Source organism: Homo sapiens, chromosome 2 (assembly GCF_000001405.40).
Source record: "Homo sapiens chromosome 2, GRCh38.p14 Primary Assembly".
Lineage (NCBI taxonomy): Eukaryota > Metazoa > Chordata > Mammalia > Primates > Hominidae > Homo > Homo sapiens.
Genome location: NC_000002.12, coordinates 172,136,382 through 172,156,698, shown reverse-complemented (window position 1 = coordinate 172,156,698; position 20,317 = coordinate 172,136,382). Strand labels below are relative to the sequence as shown.

The 20,317-nt window shown below is 42.9% G+C and overlaps 1 long non-coding RNA gene and 1 pseudogene across 1 annotated transcript; one reads left to right on the top strand and one right to left on the bottom strand.

Moving 5' to 3' along the window:
* Positions 1–559: 559 nt before the first annotated feature.
* LOC124906157 (uncharacterized) lies at positions 560–670 on the top strand (annotated as a pseudogene).
* Positions 671–3,207: 2,537 nt separating this feature from the next.
* LOC105373741 (uncharacterized) lies at positions 3,208–19,326 on the bottom strand. The gene is made up of 3 exons (XR_923580.2): positions 19,240–19,326; positions 11,723–11,848; positions 3,208–3,399 (listed from the first exon to the last, which is right to left on the bottom strand). It is a non-coding gene; the product is annotated as an uncharacterized LOC105373741 (long non-coding RNA).
* Positions 19,327–20,317: the final 991 nt, after the last annotated feature.

Here is a 20,317-nt window from a genome sequence, read left to right as displayed (position 1 = left end):
GGTGATACTCAAAAGAAAGAGGGAAAAAGAGAGATCTGATAGAAATGTCAACTAATAAATGTGAAAGGAATGATAATATTAGAAAATGATCATTTTGAGATCACATTTCACATCACATCAAAGCTGTGGAATTTCCTCTCTTCTAGGGGGAGCCTTGTGAAGATAAATTTGGTTTAAGCTGGTGGAAGCCATGGATGTGGAACCCACAGAGATGGAGGGCCGACTGTATAAACAATTATTTTACCGAGTTTCCTATGAAGATGAACAAGGGAACTGACTTGTCAAAGCGCACACCAATGAGTAGAGGCAGAACTGGAATCAGAATCCGAGACCTCTCTTGCACCACCCAGCACATGAGGGCTCTCTCCATGGGCATAATCCTCCCTACCTCCTACTTACCTGCCCTGTGCTGTGGGTAATAGATGAATCGCAGTGGTCCCTAACTTTTTTGGCACCAGGGACCAGTTTCATGGAAGACTATTTTTTCACGGATCAAGGGAGAACAGAGAGGGGCGGGGATGGTTTCAGGATGATTTCAGCACACTACATTTATCATTAGATTCTCCTAAGGACTGTGCAACCTGAGCATGATGATTGGGTATTCACGTGCATGTGTGAGATCTGCCACCCTTGAACCTTGTTATGACGTTAGCACATTACCCATCTGACACGAAAAAAAGAAGAAGAAAGAAAAAAAAAGAGGAGTGCGCAACCTAGATCCCTCGCATGCGCAGTTCACAATAAGGTTTGCGCTGTATGAGAATCTAATGCCACTGCTGATCTAACAGGAGGCGGAGCTCAGGCGGTAATGCTTGCTTGCCCGCCACTCAACTCCTGCTGTGCAGCCCGGTTCCTAACAGGCCACAGACCAGTACCGTGGGGACCCCAGGTCTAGTGGACTCCAAGAAAGACATTGGAAGAAGGAAATGGAGAAATGAGCAGACTTCAGAATAGTATCAACAAGCCATGCAGTTAGATAATGTGAAAGTCTACTGGTGAGTCTAAGGGATCTCCCTAGATGTATTTAAGAGTAACCGAATCATTATAAGGAAAGCTGTAAACTGGCAAATTGGACTGAGAAAAATCTGCCAAAATGCAGAAAGAGGATAGTATAAATCCAAGTGCAAACAGAAGGGCACAGATCATTCTGGAATGTAGGTTCCTGGTTGCAAGTATTCCATCAAGCTTTGTTTCCTGATTTGGAGTTTGGAAACATAGTCCCTCTAAGCTTAGATGGAGTTGAATGCAGCATGAGGACTGGACAGTGAGTTTCCAAAAGGGAGAGAGCACAAAAAAAAGAGGCACAAACAAGTTGATCCCGTGACGGAGCCAAATACCAGATTTTGCCTTGACCTCCAGGAAACTTGTGAAACCACTACCTTCTCTTTCCTCTAATTCCATTCATTTCACAACATCCTCTGGGCTTTTGTGTGAAACACTGTGCTTGGTGTTACAGGGATGGAGGGTAACACGGTGTTGGGGGTGGTAACGAGGTGTTGGGGTGATATACAGAATAAATAAACTGAAGGAGGTTCTGCCCTCAAATTTTAGTCTTATAGTAAGAAGCGATTCACACACTGGGCTGTGATTTCATGCCCACTGCTCAGTCTCCTGATTGCTCATCCTGCTTCTCAGCTTAGTCCTGGACAGATGGAGTGTATAATATGGGGTAGTCTGTGTCCATAGTCACTCAAAGATAACTCCTGACTGTGGATTCAAAAATATGCATTATAAACTTTTTTTAATGACCATTTTGGAACCTATGATATTATCAATTCAGGCAGTGGATGCTAAAACTGTAGAGGACCCATATATTCACATGGACTCAAAGTATCACTGCACAAAGGACTTGATAATTGTAAAGGGAGGAGTGGCGAGATATGGCAAACACCTCAACTGAGTGATCACACTCAGTAACATGCTACGTGCCTTCTGGTGTAACAGAAAAAGAGACACAATTTCATAAGTACTGTTTGCGCCAAAAAAGTTTCCCCAAAGGTAATCATGAGAAACCAATCAGACAAATACAGAATATGGTACATTCCACAAGACAACTAGCTTGATCTCTTCAAACAAGTCAATGTCATAAAAGAAAAAAAAAGGTAGGACAACTATTCTATATTAAATGAGACCAAAGACATAACAACCAAATATAATGCATGAATTTGATCGGATCTCAGATTGAGGGAAAAAAAGTTATAAAAAAGGCATTTGAAAGGAAATTTAATACACATTATACATCAGAATCATTGCTAATTTTCTTAGGTGTGATCATGCTGTCGTGGTTAGGGGAACGACATTACTCTCAAGAGATGCACGCTAAATTGAAACGTCACAATGTTTGCAATTTTCAAATGTCAACAATTGGTAAATCTAGATGAAGGATGTACAGGTGCTAATTGTATTATCCTTTCAATTTCCCTGCAGGTTTGAAATTTTTCAGGTAAAACAGAGAGTGGAGACTTGAATGTGGCCTCAACGTTGCTTTTTTTTTTTCCTTCATGATGCTGGGTGTTAAAGCATTATCCTTGTCTTCTTAGACTCTCTTTTCTTTCAAATAAAAAAAACCCACACACCTGGTCTAAGCCAAAGTATTGTTTCCACTGCCTGCAAGTATGCAGGGTTTTCCTTGTAGCAGCTGTCTCACTGGGAGCATTTTCTGTTTCAGCAACTCACATGTTTGACATTATCTCATGGATATATGAAGCTTTAGGAATATGTCACTGTCTCTTTGAAACTTAAAGATGAATCATTCTCTCAATCTCTAGGGGAAAAGATAATGCCATGGATTCCCTCATTGCTGTATAAGAAGGGGCCATGCCCAGCAGATTCCAGTAATGGCCTCTGAAGTTTACAACAGATGCCAAAGTGTGTTGGGAATACCACTGGGCTAAAAATTGGGAATCTCCTGGGGAAAGTTATTTCACCTTTCAAGGCTTCATTTACTTCATCTGTGAAAGAGAATGATTGCAATGAATGCTTTTAAAGTTCCCTTCAAGCACTAATAGTTTATCACTGGAGTTTCTGCTTTCCCAGACATAGCATCATGGCCCAAAAGAGAAAGCAAAGGGTCAGTTCTTCTCCTTGAGCACAGTCTTCAAATTCCTGGATGCTCCAGCGGGGAAGCAGCACCCTCAGCGCTTCCTCTTGTGGCAAAATAAAAACATTTTTAAGCCTAATCCACCACTGCACCTGGCCTACACTTACCTTTTTTCTAGAAACAAATGTGTCAGTTGGCAATTAGTGAAGCCTCAGAAGCAAAATTAATTCCACATGTCCTTAGCACACTATATAAAGAGAGGATCAAAGGACGACAGTCGGTGCAGAATGTGGTTAGCTGCTTCCTGTATTCTCTCCAGCTGAGCATTGTCTGTTGGCTGCAGGACCCCTTGGAAAACTCTGATAGGGCAAAAGGAAAGGAGTTGATGGAAGATTTGGGCAGACATTGCAGAGGAAATGGGCAAACTTTCATTCAGGGTGTGGCCAGAATGGAAAAAGATGAAAAGTTTAAGATGCTGGTAAAAAATGGAGAAGAAAAAACAGGCTAGAAAATAACATTCTGGAGGTAGATTTGTTTCCACATTAAGTTCAACACCCTTACGCTATAATGGTATTTTTCTATCTCTAGAAAAGTCATTTCTATGACTTTTATAACAAATAATGATGCAAAAATATTTAAACTACATTCTTCCCTGGCTAACCATTCAAGCCAAGCAGAGGTCCACAAATTGTGATAGTCTCCAGCATCAAGAAGAACTAACTGCATTCTTTTTTTATTTATTTTACTTTAAGTTCTGGGATACATGTGCAGAACATACAGATTTGTTACATAGGTATAGATGTGCCATGGTGGTTTGCTGTACCCATCAACCCATCATCTAGGTTTTAAGCCCTACATGCATTAGGTATTTGTCCTAATGCTCTCCCTCCCCTTGCCCCCCACCCCCGTACAGGCCCTAGTGTGTGATGTTCCCCTCCCTGTGCCCATGTGTTCTCATTGAAGAACTAACTGCATTCTTTGTGTATGTGTGTGTGTGTGACGGAGTCTCACTTTGTCACCCAGGCTGGAGTGCAGTGGTGCGATCTCGGCTCACTGCAACCTCCACCTCCCAGGTTCAGGTGATTCTCCTACCTCAGCCTCCTGAGTAGCTCGACTACAGGCGTGCGCCACCACGCCCAGCTAATTTTTTGCATTTTTAGTAGAGACAGGGTTTCACCCTGTTAGTCAGGATGGTCTCAATCTCCTGACCTCATGATCCGCCCGCCTTGGCCTCCCAAAGTGCTGGGATTACAGGCGTGAACCACCGTGCCCGGCCGAACTAACTGCATTCTCATGATTTGCTAGTCAAGTTCAGATTTGGCCAGCATGATGACATCCAGAGGTAGGCCTGGTCTACTTCTGAGGACACAGGCCAAATCAAGCCCTCCTGTCTTTCCCATGACTTACACAAGAACACATTTAAACAAAGGAAAAAGAAGAAACATTTCCACTTAAAGAACCCATTAGAATCAATATTGTGAAAATGACCATACTGCCAAAAGCAATCTATAAACTCAATGCAATTCCCATCAAAATATCACCATCATTCTTCACAGAACTAGAAAAAACAATCCTAAAATTCATATGGAACCAAAAAAGAGCTCACTTAGCCAAAGCAAGACTAAGCAAAAAGAACAAATCTGTAGGCATCACATTACCTGACTTCAAACTATATTATAAGGCCATAGTCACCAAAACAGCATGGTACTAGCATAAAAATAGGCACACAGACCAATGAAACAGAATAGAGAACCCAGAAATAAAGCCAAATACTTACAGCCAACTGATCTTTGACAAAGCAAACAAAAACACAAAGTGGGGAAAGGAAACCCTATTCAACAAATGATGCTGGGATAATTGGCTAGCCACATGTAGAAAAATGAAACTGGATCCTCATCTCTCACCTTATACAAAAACCAACTCAAGATGGATCAAGGACTTAAATCTAAGACCTGAAACCATAAAAACTCTAGAAGATTACATTGGAAAACCCCTTCTAGACATTGGCTTAGGGAAAGACTTCATGACCAAGAACCCAAAAGCAAATGCAACAAAAACAAAGATAAATAGATAGGACTTAATTAAACTAAAAAGCTTCTGCACAGCAAAAGAAACAATCATCAGAGTAAACAGACAACCCACAGAGTGGGAGAAAACCTTTGCAATCTAAACATCTGACAAAGGACTAATATCCAGAATCTACAAGGAACTCAAACAAACCAGCCAGAGAAAAACAATCCCGTCAAAAAGTGGGCTAAGGACATGAATAGACAATTCTCAAAAGAAGATATAGAAATGGCCAACAAGCATATGAAAAAATGTTCAACATCACTAATGATCAGGGAAATGCAAATCAAAACCACAATGCGATACCATGTTACTCCCACAAGAACAGTCATAATAAAAAAATCAAAAAATAATAGACTTTGGCGTGGATGTGATGAAAAGAGAACACTTCCACACTGCTGGTAGGAATGTAAACTAGTACAACCACTATGGAAAACAGTGTGGAGATTCCTTAAAGAACTAAAAGTAGAACTACCATTTGATCCAGCAACCCCACTACTGGGTATCTACCCAGAGGAAAAAAAGTCATTATTACAAAAAAGACACTTGCACATGCATGTTTATAGCAACACAATTCGCAATTGCAAAAATACGGAACCAGCCCAAATGCCCATCACAACAAATGGATAAAGAAATTGTGGTGTGTATATATATATACCATGGAATACTACTCAGCCATAAAAAGGAACAAAATAATGGCATTCGCAGAAACCTGGATGGAATTGGAGAGCATTATTCTAAGTGAAGTAACTCAGGAATGGAAAACCAAACATTGTGTGTTCTCACTTATAAGTGGGAGCTAAGCAACGAGGACACAAAGGCATAAGAATGATACAATGGACTTTGGGGACTCAAGGGAAAGGGTGTGGGGGTGAGGGATACAAGACTACATGCTGGATACAGTATACACTACACTGCTCAGGTGACAGGTGCACCAAAATCTCAGAAATCACCACTAAATAACTTACTCATGGAACCAGATACTACCTGTTCCTTGAAAACCTGCTGAAAGAAAAATAAATACATGAATAATAAAGAAAAGAACCCAGTACTCAGGGAGTTCTGACCTTCGTAAGTGAGAGCTGAGGTGATTTACAGTGCCCCTGTTAGGATATTTTCTTACCAGTTAAATTAGATTGATCATGCACAACTCACCCTGCAAATTTACTATTGGCAGTGTATTTGTGGTTTAAAAAAAAAACTTTGGGCACTTTAGATAGCTAAATAATAGGGGGCGATCAGAGAGATCTATCACAGGAGAAGTCAAAGGGAAAGGCTATTTCCCTTGGATACTTACTGTTAGCTGTATTTATTTAAATAACTTGTTTATGCTTTGATTGCCCACCTCTTCCATTAAAATGTAAATTCCATAAAGATGGGAACAGTATCTGTGTTTTTCACCATTGAATCCCCACCCCCTAGCACATAGCACAAATGGAATAAGTAGTTAATGAAGGAGGACATGAAATTTTTAGACATACACAATCAGAAAAAATAAAAGTATGGTATGGTTCTTCATTCTTATGTTTTTATTCACATCTTTCTTTATAATGCTGAGCAACTTTTTTTAGTTTTCTTTACATAGAGCCTACAGCACATTTCTTATTAAAATTATTCCTATTTTATCAGTTTAAAGAATGTAATCTCTCCATCCCTCTCTTTCTCCTCTCTCTTTCTCATTATATTTTAAAGTTTATCAATGCTGGCATATGGAAAATATTTTTATTTGAATATATCCTGCTTGCAGCCAACACACTCAACTCTCATTAAATGCAATAGTTGGGGCCAGGCACTGTGGCTCACACCTGTAATCCCAGAAATTTGAGAGGCAGAGGAGGAAGGATCGCTTGAGCCTGGGAGGCTGAAGTAAGCTATGGTCATGCCACTGCACTCCAGCCTGGGCAACAGAGTAGGATCCTGTTTCTTTTTAAAAAATCCAATAGTTGGGCCGGGTACGGTGGCTCATGCCTGTAATCCCAGCACTTTGGGAGGCCAAGGCGGGTGGATCACGAGGTCAGGAGATCAAGACTATCCTGGCTAACACGGTGAAACCCCGTCTCTACCAAAAATACAAAAAAAAAAAAAAATTAGCCGAGCATGGTGGCGGGAGCCTGTAGTCCCAGCTACTCGGGAGGCTGAGGCAGGAAAATGGCGTGAAACTGGGAGGCGGAGCTTGCAGTGAGCCGAGATCGCGCCACTGCACTCCAGCCTGGGCGACAGAGTGAGACTCCCCCTTAAAAAAAAAAAAATCCAATAGTTGGAGTTTCATTTTGCTTGATTTTTTTTTTTTTTTTTTTTTTTTTGAGAGGGAGTCTTGCTCTGTCGCCCAGGCTGGAGTGCAGAGGTGCGATCTCGGCTCACTGCAACCTCCGCTTCTTGGGTTCAAGCGATTCTCCTGCCTCAGCCTCCTGAGTAGCTGGGACTACAGGCTTCCGCTACCACGCCCAGCTAATTTTTTGTGTTTTTAGTAGAGACGGGGTTTCACCATATTGGCCAGGCTGGTCTCGAACTCCTGATCTTGTGATCTGCCCGCCTCGGCTTCCCAAAGTGCTGGGATTACCGGCGTGAGCCACTGCGCCCAGCCTTGAATTTCTTTTAGTAGGCTAGATATAAAATCGTATCATCTGCAAAAATAAAATTTTGTCTTTTCCTTTCCAAAGTTCTAAATCTCATTTCTGTTTCATCTTTAATTGCTGTCACTAGCTGCAAACTGGGAAAAACATCAAACGATAATGGTGATGGTGGGTGTTCCATAATCTATTCATGATTCTAAGAAACAGACCTCTGGTGTTTCTCATTCTGATTTTCACAACTAGAGCCCAGAAAGATTCTCATCTGCTCATTTCCTTTCACTTTACCTTATTACAGACCACTTAAAATAATCCTAATGTAATAATGTAAGTTTTAACAACACCAAGATGGTTAGTCCTCAAAGAAGTTTCCTTTTCGTCCCTAAACCACAATGCAAGAGCATTCCTTTGCCTCTATTAAATGCACACAAACACACACACACACAGCCGATGCAGCCTGTCCAACCCCTGCTTTCTTCTGATTCATGGGCTCTGGGGGGCATGAAGCAATGCTGATGCCTCAAGGGCCCCGGCACATCCGCAGTCCTCTGGCTAGGGCAGTGCCCGCAGCTCTGAGAACATCAAGAGCACCCGGGCATAAACATGTGCATTCCCATGGCAGCGCTGGCAGTCCTGGCAGTACTACACGAATAAATAGACAGCAACTGTGGGCTTGTCCTAATCAGCATAAGAAGTGAACAGGATATTGAAATGAAATGAAAATAATTACTTCTTCTCCTGCCCCTGAGACCAGGTCTGCTGAATTCTGGCTCTTTCGTTTTGTCCACCCACCCATCCATGCTAGAGGAAATTAATTTGTCTGTTCCCGCTATTTGATTCAAAGCAGGCTGAGACTGCCTTTCTAGAGTCTCAGACCTCCGCCTGCTACACACTTCTCCTTCTTTACAGAGCCAAGCTCTCCACTAGCTGCCTGCAGGTTATGCAAACCATGATCACAAACACTGGGAACCACTCACCAGGCACAATGGTACCAGGACCTGAGTGTGTGAACCTGATGCACCACCTGGGCAGAGGCCCTCCCTAGACAGCCATGTCCTCCCCAGCCCACTGTCCAAGCTTTGGAGCTGTCGGAGCTGTCAGAGCTGCCTGGAGGAAGATTGGTATTGAAGGAAATAAAAATATTGGACCCCAAAACAGACTTCTTTGGCATACTTTGAGATGGCTGTTCAGAGGGCCTGCAAACATAAGTAGCCCTGCAAAGCTGTCTTTTGCAGGTGGGGGGAGATTTGCATCTGCAGAGAATCTGCATTGATGCAGCCAGGCTTTCTCCTAAGGCCTTCCTTTGTCCAGATCTAGGAGAGATTAACTGAGAGTCTGACACATTTAAAGATCTGAAAGAACATTCACCCATCTCTCCACTCTGAGGGCTGCTACCTGTGAGGTTTCACCTGCATAACACAACCATCTTTGCTAGCCAGGGCTTCTCTTCTCCCCCTCCCATAACCTGTTTTGCCAGGATACAAGCCCCCATTCTTTCTATACCTTCAAGAGGGTATATAAACTTCTGAACCCCATTGGGATTTGGGGTAATCACTCTGTGGTTCTTCCCCATGTGCATGTTAATAAATTTGTATGTCATTTCTCTTATTAATCTCCTTCTGTGAGTCGATTTTTCAGCAAAACTTCAGAGGGTAAAGGGGAAGTTTTCCCTTGGCCTCTACAGCATCATCTTCACTGTCCTGGGGATCTAAGACTACTCTCAAGATTTTTCTTGGGTTTTCCCAACTATGGGGATAAGAGAGCCTTTAGGGATAGGAGACCTGGGAGGCAGATGACAACAGCAGTGATTCTTACCTGTCAGCCAGCCTCTGGCACTGGCTCTACAGCCACCACCAATCCCAACCCATGATGGAATAGCTCAGAGCCCTCCCTCCCGCTTCTTAGCCCTCTCCATGACTACAGAGACCCTGGTCTGGCTGGCAAGAGCGGGGAGTGGAGGGGAAGGACAGGAGTCTGCACATGTGTCCATATTGGTGTTCAAGGTTTGGGGGCAAAACAGAAGCTGCCTTTGCTTCCACCAGGTTCCCTCCCTGCTCTTCTAACCCCTCAATGAAAATCTGGGCCAAGCTGTACTCCAGCACCAACCCCAACCTCATCCATCCTAATACTTTTTCCCAAATCTGTTTAATTCCCTGGTTAACTTCATTCTGGCCCCCAGCCCTGCCTGAACAGTGCCTGCCCCTAATGCCCAGCTCAGCAATGCATGCCCTGGCCTTATGCTAATCATTACTAATTGCAGCTAACACTTATAAATGTCCTTATTCACTTATTTATTTAATCTTTACAGCAATCCTCTGAGGTAGATACTATTATTATTCCCATTTTACAGATGAGAAAACTGAGTCTCCAGGAGATTAAGTGACTTGCCCAAGGTCACATAGCTTGCAAACAACAGAATAGATTTGAGCCCAGGGTCTGCACTCCTAACCTCTAGCCTGTACCAACACTAAAAGTTTTAGTCCCTGCCCTCAAGCCAGTGTCAATCCAACCCCCAGACCCTGCAGCTCTGATGGGAGCCTGAGCTCCTTAAATCCAGCTGAGCCCCACCACTCTGCCACCCAAAGTCAGAAGGTAGCATCTGCCCACCTTGCCCCATCAGGGCTCTCCCAACATACTTTTTACCCTCCACCAACAACAGAACCTGAGTCGACGAGAGGTCAACACTATGCAGGATGAGGTGGTCAGCTCATGGAAGCCCGAGGGAGCCCAGGCAGAAAGCATCCCAGCCACGGACAAAAATGAGCTCCAGACACCCAGGCCTGGGCCATGGCACCCAGGCGCACCTTCCAGGGCTATGGAGGAGGCTGCCCCATCAAAAGCATTTCCATGTCTGGAAACACCTGTGAAATCTAAGGCGTGGGCAGTGGAAGAGGGCAGCTGTGAGCAGCAGGCACAGAAGACCTGAAGGTGAGACTCCATGGGAAAGAGGCCTGGCAGAGGCTTTCCCTCCCTCTGCAGGAAGCAGCACTATACCATTCATTCTCCTTCTGGCGGAACTCCTGACATTGACTTCTGTGAGCTCTGTGCCAGCAATTTCAGGCTACTGTTTCTCAGTTTTCTGGGCCAAATTATCTCTCCCACTTCATGTGGCTTTCCCAGGAAACAGGCCTAATTTTATTTTCAAATGGACTCAATATCCCTCAAGTCTATCCTGTCTCCCTCCCAGCCTCCACCCCCATGCTTGCAGATCCCCCTCGAAGCACTTCCAAAGGCATTCATCAATGAAAATTATTATCAGTAATCAAATGTACAATTTGTTAAGAACTTACAGGAACCAAGCTAACTCATTTTGTTCTTACATTCATAAATTCATTGAGTTATTTGAGGTAGGTAGTGTGCCCCCTTTATAGATGAGCAAGTGAAATTCTAAACTCAATTGCCTTGGGCAGGTGATTGGCATAAATGTTTTCAGAGGATCAGCATAAGACAATAGTTGACCTCTTTTATTGAGATCAAGGTAACTTAACTTTTGGAAAGGCTGGGCAGGCAAAAAAAACTTACCCTCTGGCTTCTCCAGCCTTTGAGCCACCAATTTAAGATCACTAAATTTAGAAACTCCCCTCAGCCTGGCTATGGGGTCCATTCTCTTAACTCCTAGGCTATCCCACTTCACTATCAGTCCCTTTGTTCCTAGTCAGCCCACCAGATGTAAATTGAGTTGTGTGGGAAAGAAGTAAAGAGCCAATACTGAAGAACTCTCAGTATAACTCAAAGGAGAATTCCCACCAAATAACTCAGAAGACAGAACCTTGTAATTTTAAAGTTATAGGGTTGGTGGAGGATGGGGGGCTGGGAGGTAGGGGAAAGAACACTACCTAATTCTTTAAATCCCAAGGAGAAGCAAAGCTTGCTTTAAAAATTAAAAAAAAAAAAAAAAAAAAAGCCAAGGAGGCCATCAGAATCATTCATGTCTATTTGATTATCTCATTAAGACAATGCTTTCCAACCAGTCAGTGGACAAGTAGGTAGAAGAAAAAATACCAAGAACAAACATGAAATATGCTCTAGGGAAATGAGTTCTAACCTGGGGCCATGGAATCTTCAGTGGGTTTCACAGGGTCCATGCGTATCTTGGAAACATTCTAATTTTATGTGCACGTGCATTTTTCTGGAAAGACTTTTCCATAGCTGTCATCAAAAGGCCCACCACCTGAGAAAAGAAAAAATAAAACACTAAAACCACTAAATAAATAAATAAATAAATATCTCCTAACAAATATTATTAGGAGAAATAAATATCTCCTAAATCCACAGGATTTTCTTAAACCCAGCTGCTCCTCCTTCCTGAAAATAGTGGCCTGTCCCCCACTGGCTCATGGAGGAGCTGAGGGAGTGAGCAATACCAGGCTTGGCAGATCACCTGGAAGTTCCTACCCTACCTGTGTCCACCGGGTGATGCTGGGCCTCTCTGAAGTTATGAAGGCCAAGTCGGATCCTGCAGCACCCTAGTTAAGCCAAACGGAATATTCAAAAGAGATGAAAGGAATAGCACATGAAATTTCAGCATTTTGATCCTCAAGAGAACCCAGCTGAAGTAGCCTGAGAAATTGCTCAGGGAAGGCTGGAATCGCTCAGGGAAGCAGATGGAGTTTCTGAAGGTTAGGGAGGAAGAGCATATTACGTGGACTGGGCTTGCAGGTGTAACAAGCACAGATCAGAGGCGCAACTGATTAAGGCTACAGAGATGCTGGAAAGGAACAGAGGGACTGGTCCAAAGCCAGGGAGGAAATGAAAGGCAAGACAAAGCCCTATCATGGACCAGCATTGAGAGATGAGGCTTTGGCATTTGTATAGAAGATGCCAGAGGGTTGGGCAGATGCCAGTGGAGAAAGAGACCACATGACTAGACTCTTTAAGAGAAGACTGAGAAGTGGGGCTTACATGAATAGAAAATGGAAGAAAGATGTGATTACTGAGAAGAGAAATTGGCTAGCATATGAAGTGTCAGGTATTAATACTGAAGGCACACAGTAGATAAATGAACCAGTCAGCAAAAGGCATATAAGACCAGATGCAGGTTTGCAGAAATGAAGTGACCTGGGTCACAGGAAGCAGAGGTATCCTCCCCACCACATGCCAACATACTGCCTGAGCAGAGGTCTGCTCTCAACTCTAGTAATTATTAATGTAGAATTATTACAAGTACATGTGATGATCCCAACATCCACCTCTGCCCATACCTCATCTGAGCAGCCCTTTTTCAACTGAGTAGCCAAGAACTGAAAAAATATATAAATTACAGCACAGGGAAGTCAGAAAATGACCAATAGCTTCCAGTCAGTTCTGGAACAAGTTTTGTATCTTGAATTGGGACTGCATTATTTTTCTTGATTTGTTGTAGGAAATTGTAAAATTTTCAACATCCTAATGACCATCAGTAAATGACTGATTTAAAAGAGTTTGGTTGGCTGGGTGTAGTGGCTCATGTCTGTAATCCCAGCACTCTGGGAGGCCAAGGCAGGTGGATCACAAGATCAGGAGATTGAGACCATCCTGGCTAACACCGTGAAACCCCTTCTCTACTAAAAATACAAAAAAAAATTAGTCGGGTGTGGTGGCAGGCGCCTGTAATCCCAGCTACTTGGGAGGCTGAGGCAGGAGAATGGCATGAACCCAGGAGGCAGAGCTTGCATTAAGCTGAGTTCAAGCCACTGCACTCCAGCCTGGGCAACAGAGCGAGACTTCGTCTCAAAAAACAAAAAAAAACAAAAAAAAAACCACACGCACAAAGAGTTTTGTTTAGCTATATTCTGGAATACTATGCAACTACTTAAAAGAATGAATGGCATCCATATGTGCTCACATGGGAAAATGTCCAGGATTTCTTGCTAGGTGAAGGAAAGCAAGTTGGAGATTCTATGTATAATATAATCCCACTTGTTAAAAAAAAAAAAAAAAAGCTTACCGGCCTGGGCAACATGGCAAAACCCCATCTCCACCAAAAATACAAAAAATTAGCCAGGTGTGGTGGTGCATGTCTGTAATCCCAGCTACTAGGGAGGCTAAGGCGGGAGAATCACTGGAACCCAGCAGATGGAGGCTGGAGTGAGCCAAGATCACACTACTGCATTCCAGCCTGAGTGACAGTGGGACCCTGTCTCAACTTAAAAAAAAAAAAAAAAAAAAAAGATTGGGCTGGGCGCAGTGACTCACGCCTGTAATCCCAGTACTTTGGGAGGCCGAGGTGGGTGAACTCCTGAGGTCAGTTCAAGACCAGCCTGGCCAACATGGTGAAACCCCATCTCTACTAAAAATACAAAAATTAGCCAGGCATGGTGGCATGTGCCTGTAATCCCAGCTACTCAGGAGGCTGAGGCAGGGGAATTGCTTGAACCCAGGAGGTGGAGGTTGCAGTGAGCCGAGATCGCACCATTGCAATCCAGCCTGGGTGACAGAGCGAGACGACGTATCCAAAAGAAAAAAGATTATACAAATAAATATGTACTATATAATTGTACATGTGCTTGATATTTATTCATTCATTCATTCAAGATGTATTTATAGAGTATCTTTTGTATATCAGACACTGGCACAAAAATCTCTGCCTATATTTGGTTTGGGAAGACAGAAAATAAATAAGAGAAATAAGCAAAAGGTATATTTACTATGTACAAACTGCTAACAATGAAAATAAATCAGGGAAGGGGATAGGAAATGTGTGGTACATAGCCAACATCCTGTCTGGGAGACCTCTCTGAGGTATATTTGAGTAAAGAACTGAGAAGTGAAGGAGTGGGGAGGCCGCTCTCTGGAGGAAGAGCATGGCAATACTGCAAGCAAAGGTTCTGAGGCAGCAGCGCACCGGGAGGGTTCTGGATCATGCAGAGGGGTGTGCAAAACTGCACATTTGAAGCTGCTCTACTGATTTAGGTAAGAGACTTTGCCCTAGTTAAAAAAAAAAAACAAAAAACAAAAAAAAACAGGCACACAGCCCATCCTCCTCCCTCTGCTCTCAACAATTGCTGCAGGTAGAAAGGCTTTGGAAATGGAAAGCAGAGAGTGCAGCTGGTTTTGAATTTGAGGAATTCTGTAAGGGAAGCCAGGATAGGGGTGTGTCACAGAAGAGCACCTCTACAGCCTTCACACTTTTATACAACAGGGATCCAGAAGCCTAATTAAAGTTGTCAGGGGCCAGGCGCGGTGGCTTACGCCTGTAATCCCAGCACTTTAGGAGGCTGAGGCAGGCAGATCACTTGAAGTCAGGAGCTCAAGACCAGGCTGGCCAACATGGTGAAACCCTATCTCTACTAAAAATACAAAAGTTGGCTGGGGCATGGTGGTGGGCACATGTAATCTCAGCTACTCGGGAGGCTGAGGCAAGAGAATCGCTTGAACCCAGGAGATTGCAGTGAGCCAAGATTGTGCCACTGTACTCCAGCTTGGGCGACAAGAATGAAACTCCGTCTCAAAAAAAAAAAAAAAAAAGGAGCAACTCCTCATCCAGTCAAGTTTGATCATGAAATTGCAGGAATTGAGTCACATCTACAGGCTCTACTTCTAATTCTAGTTCTCTTGCTATTTCCACCACAGCTGCAGTGAAGCCTTGAACGTCTCAAAAGTCATCAATAAGCACTGGAATCAACTTCTCCCAAACCCCTGTTAATGTTGATGTTTTGACCTCCTCCTATGAATCACAAATGTTCTTAATGGCATCTAGAATGGTAAATCCTTTCCAGAAAGTTTTCAATTTACTTTGCCCAGATACATCAAAGGAATCACTATCTATGGCAGCTATAGTCTTATGATAGGTATTTCTTTTGTTGTAAATTTTTGTTTTTAGGGACTGGGTCTTGCTATGTTACCCAGGCTGGTCTTACACTCCTGGCCTCAAGCAATCCTCCCACTTCAGCCTCCTGAGTCTCTGGGATTATAGGCACAAGCCACCAAGCCTGGCTGCAAATATATTTTTTAAATAAGGGTTGCCAAGGGTGGTGCCTTATACCTGTAATCCCAGCACTTCGGGAGGCTAAGGCAGGGAGATTGTTTAAGGCCAGGAGTTCTAGACCAGACCAGCCAACACAGTGAAATTTGTCTCTACAAAAAATAGAAAAACTTACTCAAGAGTGGTGGTACATGCCTGTAGTCCCAGCTACTCAGGAGGCTGAGGCAGGGGGATCACTTGAGCCCAGAGTTTGAGGCCATAGTAAGCCATAATTGTGCCACTGCTCTCCAGCCTGGGCAGCAGAGACCTCAACTCAAAAAAAAAAAAAAAAAAAAAATTAGCTAGGTGTGGTAGAATATGCCTATAGTCTCAGCTACTTGGGAGGCTGGAGCAGGAGGATCACTGGATCCCAGAGTTCAAGGCTGCAGTAAGCTGTGATTGCCAGTGCACTCCAGCCTGGGTGACAGAATGAGACTACCTCTCTAAACAAATGAATAAATAGATAATAAGACTTGAAAGTCAAAATTACTCCTTGATCCATGGGCTGCAGAATGGATGTTGTGTTAGCAGGCAAGAAAACATTAATTTCCTTGTACCTCTCCATCAGAGAGCTGTTTGGTGACCAGGTACATTGTCAATGAGCAATAGTATTTTGAAAGGAATCTTTTTTTCTAAACAGTAGGTCTCAACATTGAGCTTAAAGTATTCAGTAAACCATATTCTAGACAGATGTGCTGTCATCCAGGCTTTGTTGTTCCATTTATAGAGCATGGGTAGAGCAGATTTACCATAATTCTTAAGGGCCCTAGGATTTTCAGAATGGTCAATGAACATTAGCTTCAACTTAGAGTCACCAGCTGCATTAGCCCCTAACAAGAGAGCCTGTCCTTTGAAGCTTTGGAGCCAGGCATTCTCTTCTCTTCTTTAGCTGTGAAAGTCCTAGATGGCATCTTCTTCCAAGGCTGTTTCATCTACATGGAAAAGCTTTTGTTTCATGCAGTCACCTTCATCGATGGTCTTAGCTAGATCTTCTGAATAACTTGCTGTAGCTTCTACATCAGCACTTGCCACTTCACCTTGCACTTTTATGTTATGGAGACAGCTTCTTTCCTTAAAGCTCATGAACCAACCTCTGCTGGCTTCCAACATTTCTTCTGCAGCTTCCTCATCTCTCTCAGCCTTCATAGACTTGAAGAGAGTTCAGAGTCTGAACTCTCTGGATTAGGCTTTGGCTTAAGGGAAGGTTGTGGCTGGTTTGATCTTCTACCCAGATCATTCAAACCTCCTCCATGTCAACAAAAAGTGAAATGTGTTCACTAGAGTAGCACGTTTAATTTCCTTCAAGAACTTTTCCTTTGCATTCACAACTTGGCTAAGAGTTTTGTGCAAGAGGCCTAGCTTTTAGCCTGTCTTGACTTTCAACGTGCTTTCCTCACTAAGCTTAAACATTTCTAGCTTTTGATTTAAGATGAGAGATATGATCAAGCGTGGTGGCTCATAGCGGTAATCCCAACACTTTGGGACACTGAAGTAGGAGAATCACTTGAGCCCAGGAGTTCCAGACCAGCCTGGGAAACGTGGCCAAACCCCATCTCTACAAAAAAAAATTTTTTTAATTAGCTAGGCATGGTGGTGCATGCCTGTAGTTCCAGCTACTTGGAAGGCTGAGGTAGGAGGATTGTTTGAGCCAGGGAGGTCGAGGCTGCAGTGAGGTGTGATCATGCCACTGCACTCCAGCCTGGGCAACGGAGCAAAACTCTGTCTCAAATAAGTAAAATGAGAGATGTGACTCTTCCTTCACTGGAACACTTAGAGGCCATTGTAGGGGCATTAATTGGCCTAACTTTTTTTAACTTCCATTTTTAACTTCCATTTTAGATTTGGGGGTACATGTGAAGGTTTGCTACACAGTTAAACATGTGTCGTGGGGGTTTGTTGTACATATTATTACATCATCCAGGTATTAAGCCCAGTACCAAAGAGTTCTCTTCTCTTCTCCCTCCTCCCACCCTCCCCCATCAGGTAGACTCCAGTGTCTATTTTTTTCTTTTCTTGTGTTCATATATTCTTATCCTTTAGCTCCCACTTATAGGTGAGAACATGTAGTATTTGCTTTTCTGTCCTTAGTTGGTTTGCTAAGGATAATGGCCTCCAGCTCCATCCATGTTCCTTCAAAGGACATGATCTCATTTTTTATGGCTGCATAGTATTTCATGGTATATGTGTACCACATTTTCTTTAGTCTACCATTGATGGGCATTTAGGTTGACTCCATGTCTTTGCTATTGTGAATAGTGCTGCAGTGAGCATTCATGTGCATGTGTCTTTATGGTAGAATGATTTATATTCTCCTGGGTATATACCTAATAATGACATTGCTGGGTCGAATGGTAGTTCTGCTTTTAGCTCTTTGAGGAATCACCATACTGCTTTCCACAATGGTTGAACCGATTTACACTCCCACCAATGTGTATAAGTGTTCCCATTTCTCCGCGATCTTGTCAGCATCTGTTATTTTTTGAATTGTTAATCATAGAATTGACCTAATTTTAATATTCTTGTGTTTCAGGGAATACAGGCCTGAGGAGAGGAATAGTGATGGGGAATGGTCAGTGGAGCAGTCTGAATACACACATTTACCAATTAAGTTCAATGTTTATATGGGCATGGTTCTTGGTGCCCCAACCAATTACAATAGTCACATCAAAGATCATTGATAATAGATCATCATAACAGACACAATAATAATGAAAAAGTTTGGAATGTTATAAGAATTATCAAAATGTGACACGAAGACATGAAGTGAGCACGTGCTGTTGGAGAAATGGTACCAACAGACTTGCTTGATGCCAGGTTGCCACAAATCTTCAATTTCTAAAAACCACAATATTTGCAAAGCACAATAAAGTGAAGCACAATAAAACAAGGTGTGCCTGTATTTGTTGGCTGTAGATAGCCCTTAAAAGAGCACCCATAAAATGCAAATTATAAGTTTGCATTAGGGCTGGGGTTTGCAAACTTGTTCTGTAAAGGGCCAGATAATATATATTAGCAAGCCATACTACTCAACTCTGCCATGGCAGCCCAAAAGCAGATGCTGCATAAATGGATGAATGTGTCTGTGTTCCAATAAAACTTTACTAATAGACACTGAAGTTTTATTTTTATATAATTTTTATGTGTCACAAAATATTATTCTTCTTTTGGTTTTTTTTTCAACCATTTGAAAATGTAAACATTATTCTTAGTGCCCAGGCCATAGCTTGCTGACCACAGCCTTAGGGAATGGAGTTTAGAAGGTTATAAAGATCTTAGGAGAGGCCGGGAGCTGTGACTCATGCCTATAATCCCAGCGCGTTGGGAGGCCAAGGCAGGTGGATCACTTGAAGCCAGGAGTTCGAGACTAGCCTAGCCAACATGGTGAAACCCCATCTCTATAAATACAAAAATTAGCCAAGTGTGGTGGCCCATGTCGGTAATCCCAGCTACTCAGAAGGCTGAGGCAGAAGAATTGCTTGAGCCCGGGATGTGGAGGTTGCAGTGAGCCAAGATTGTGCGACTGCACTCCAGCCTGGCCAACGGAGTGAGATTCCATCTCAAAAAAACAAAAACAAACTTAGGAGAAAAAAAAAATGTCAGGCTTCTTGTTCTTAGGCTACCTGTTGATGTGGGTGGGACGTCTTGCAAAACTCCTTGAGGAGGTGTGTCTACATCTCATCATCCTGGTCCTGGTCAGCCAAAGCATATTCAACCCTTTTTTCTCTCTGACTCATCAAAAAGAGTCCTAACTCCCTTTCGTGGGGTTACCATGGACTCCTACTGTGTCATGGGGTTTGTTGTACATATTATTACATCATCCAGGTATTAAGCCCAGTACCAAATAGTTATCTTTTCTTCTCTTCTCCCTCCTCCCACCCTTCATTAGATGTTAGGCTAATGTTACATCCCTGAGCTAGAGGAAATATCAGAATGGGCTTATTAATGAGCAGTAAGAAGATGTCTTAGATCTGGGATCAGGAAAAAGCCTTAAAATCACCTGACCCATTTTCTATACTTTACAGCTAAAGAAATAGAAGGACAGAGAGAGTAAATGACTTGCCCAAGGCCACTCAGTTTGTTAGAAGCCGACCTGGGACTAGAGTCCACATTTCAGACTTCTAGTTGGGGGCTGCTTCCACTCTATTACCTACATTTGTACTCGTAGGAGAAAGTTAAGGAGCCGGGGATGGGGAGCTATTATAAACTAAAGACTTTTTTTAAAAACATAGAATATGATTAAAATGCCATTTTTGGCTGGATGCAGTGGCTCATGCCTATAATTGCAACACTTGGGAACCTGAGGCAGGAGAATTGCTTGAGCTCAGGAGTTTGAGACCAGCCTGGGCAACACAGTGAAGCTCTGTCTCTACAAAATAAAATTTTTTTTAAATGCCATTTTTGCATCCACAGAATGTTTTTGTATTGCCAGTCCCAAACTTGGAGTAAAAAGAAAAGAATATTGGGATGCAGAGAGAGAGGATGAGCTGAGAAGTATTTGCAAGGGACCCTCAAATATACCTGTTCACTAAGCGTTATTTACATACTACTACTACTACTAATATCTTCCACAGAGAAATGTTCTACAGCAGTAGTTCTCAAACTGTGGCCCAGGAACCCACAGGGGTGCTAAGACCCTTTCAGAGGCATAATGAGGTCAAAACTATTCTCATACTACTACTATGATGTTTGCTTTTTTCA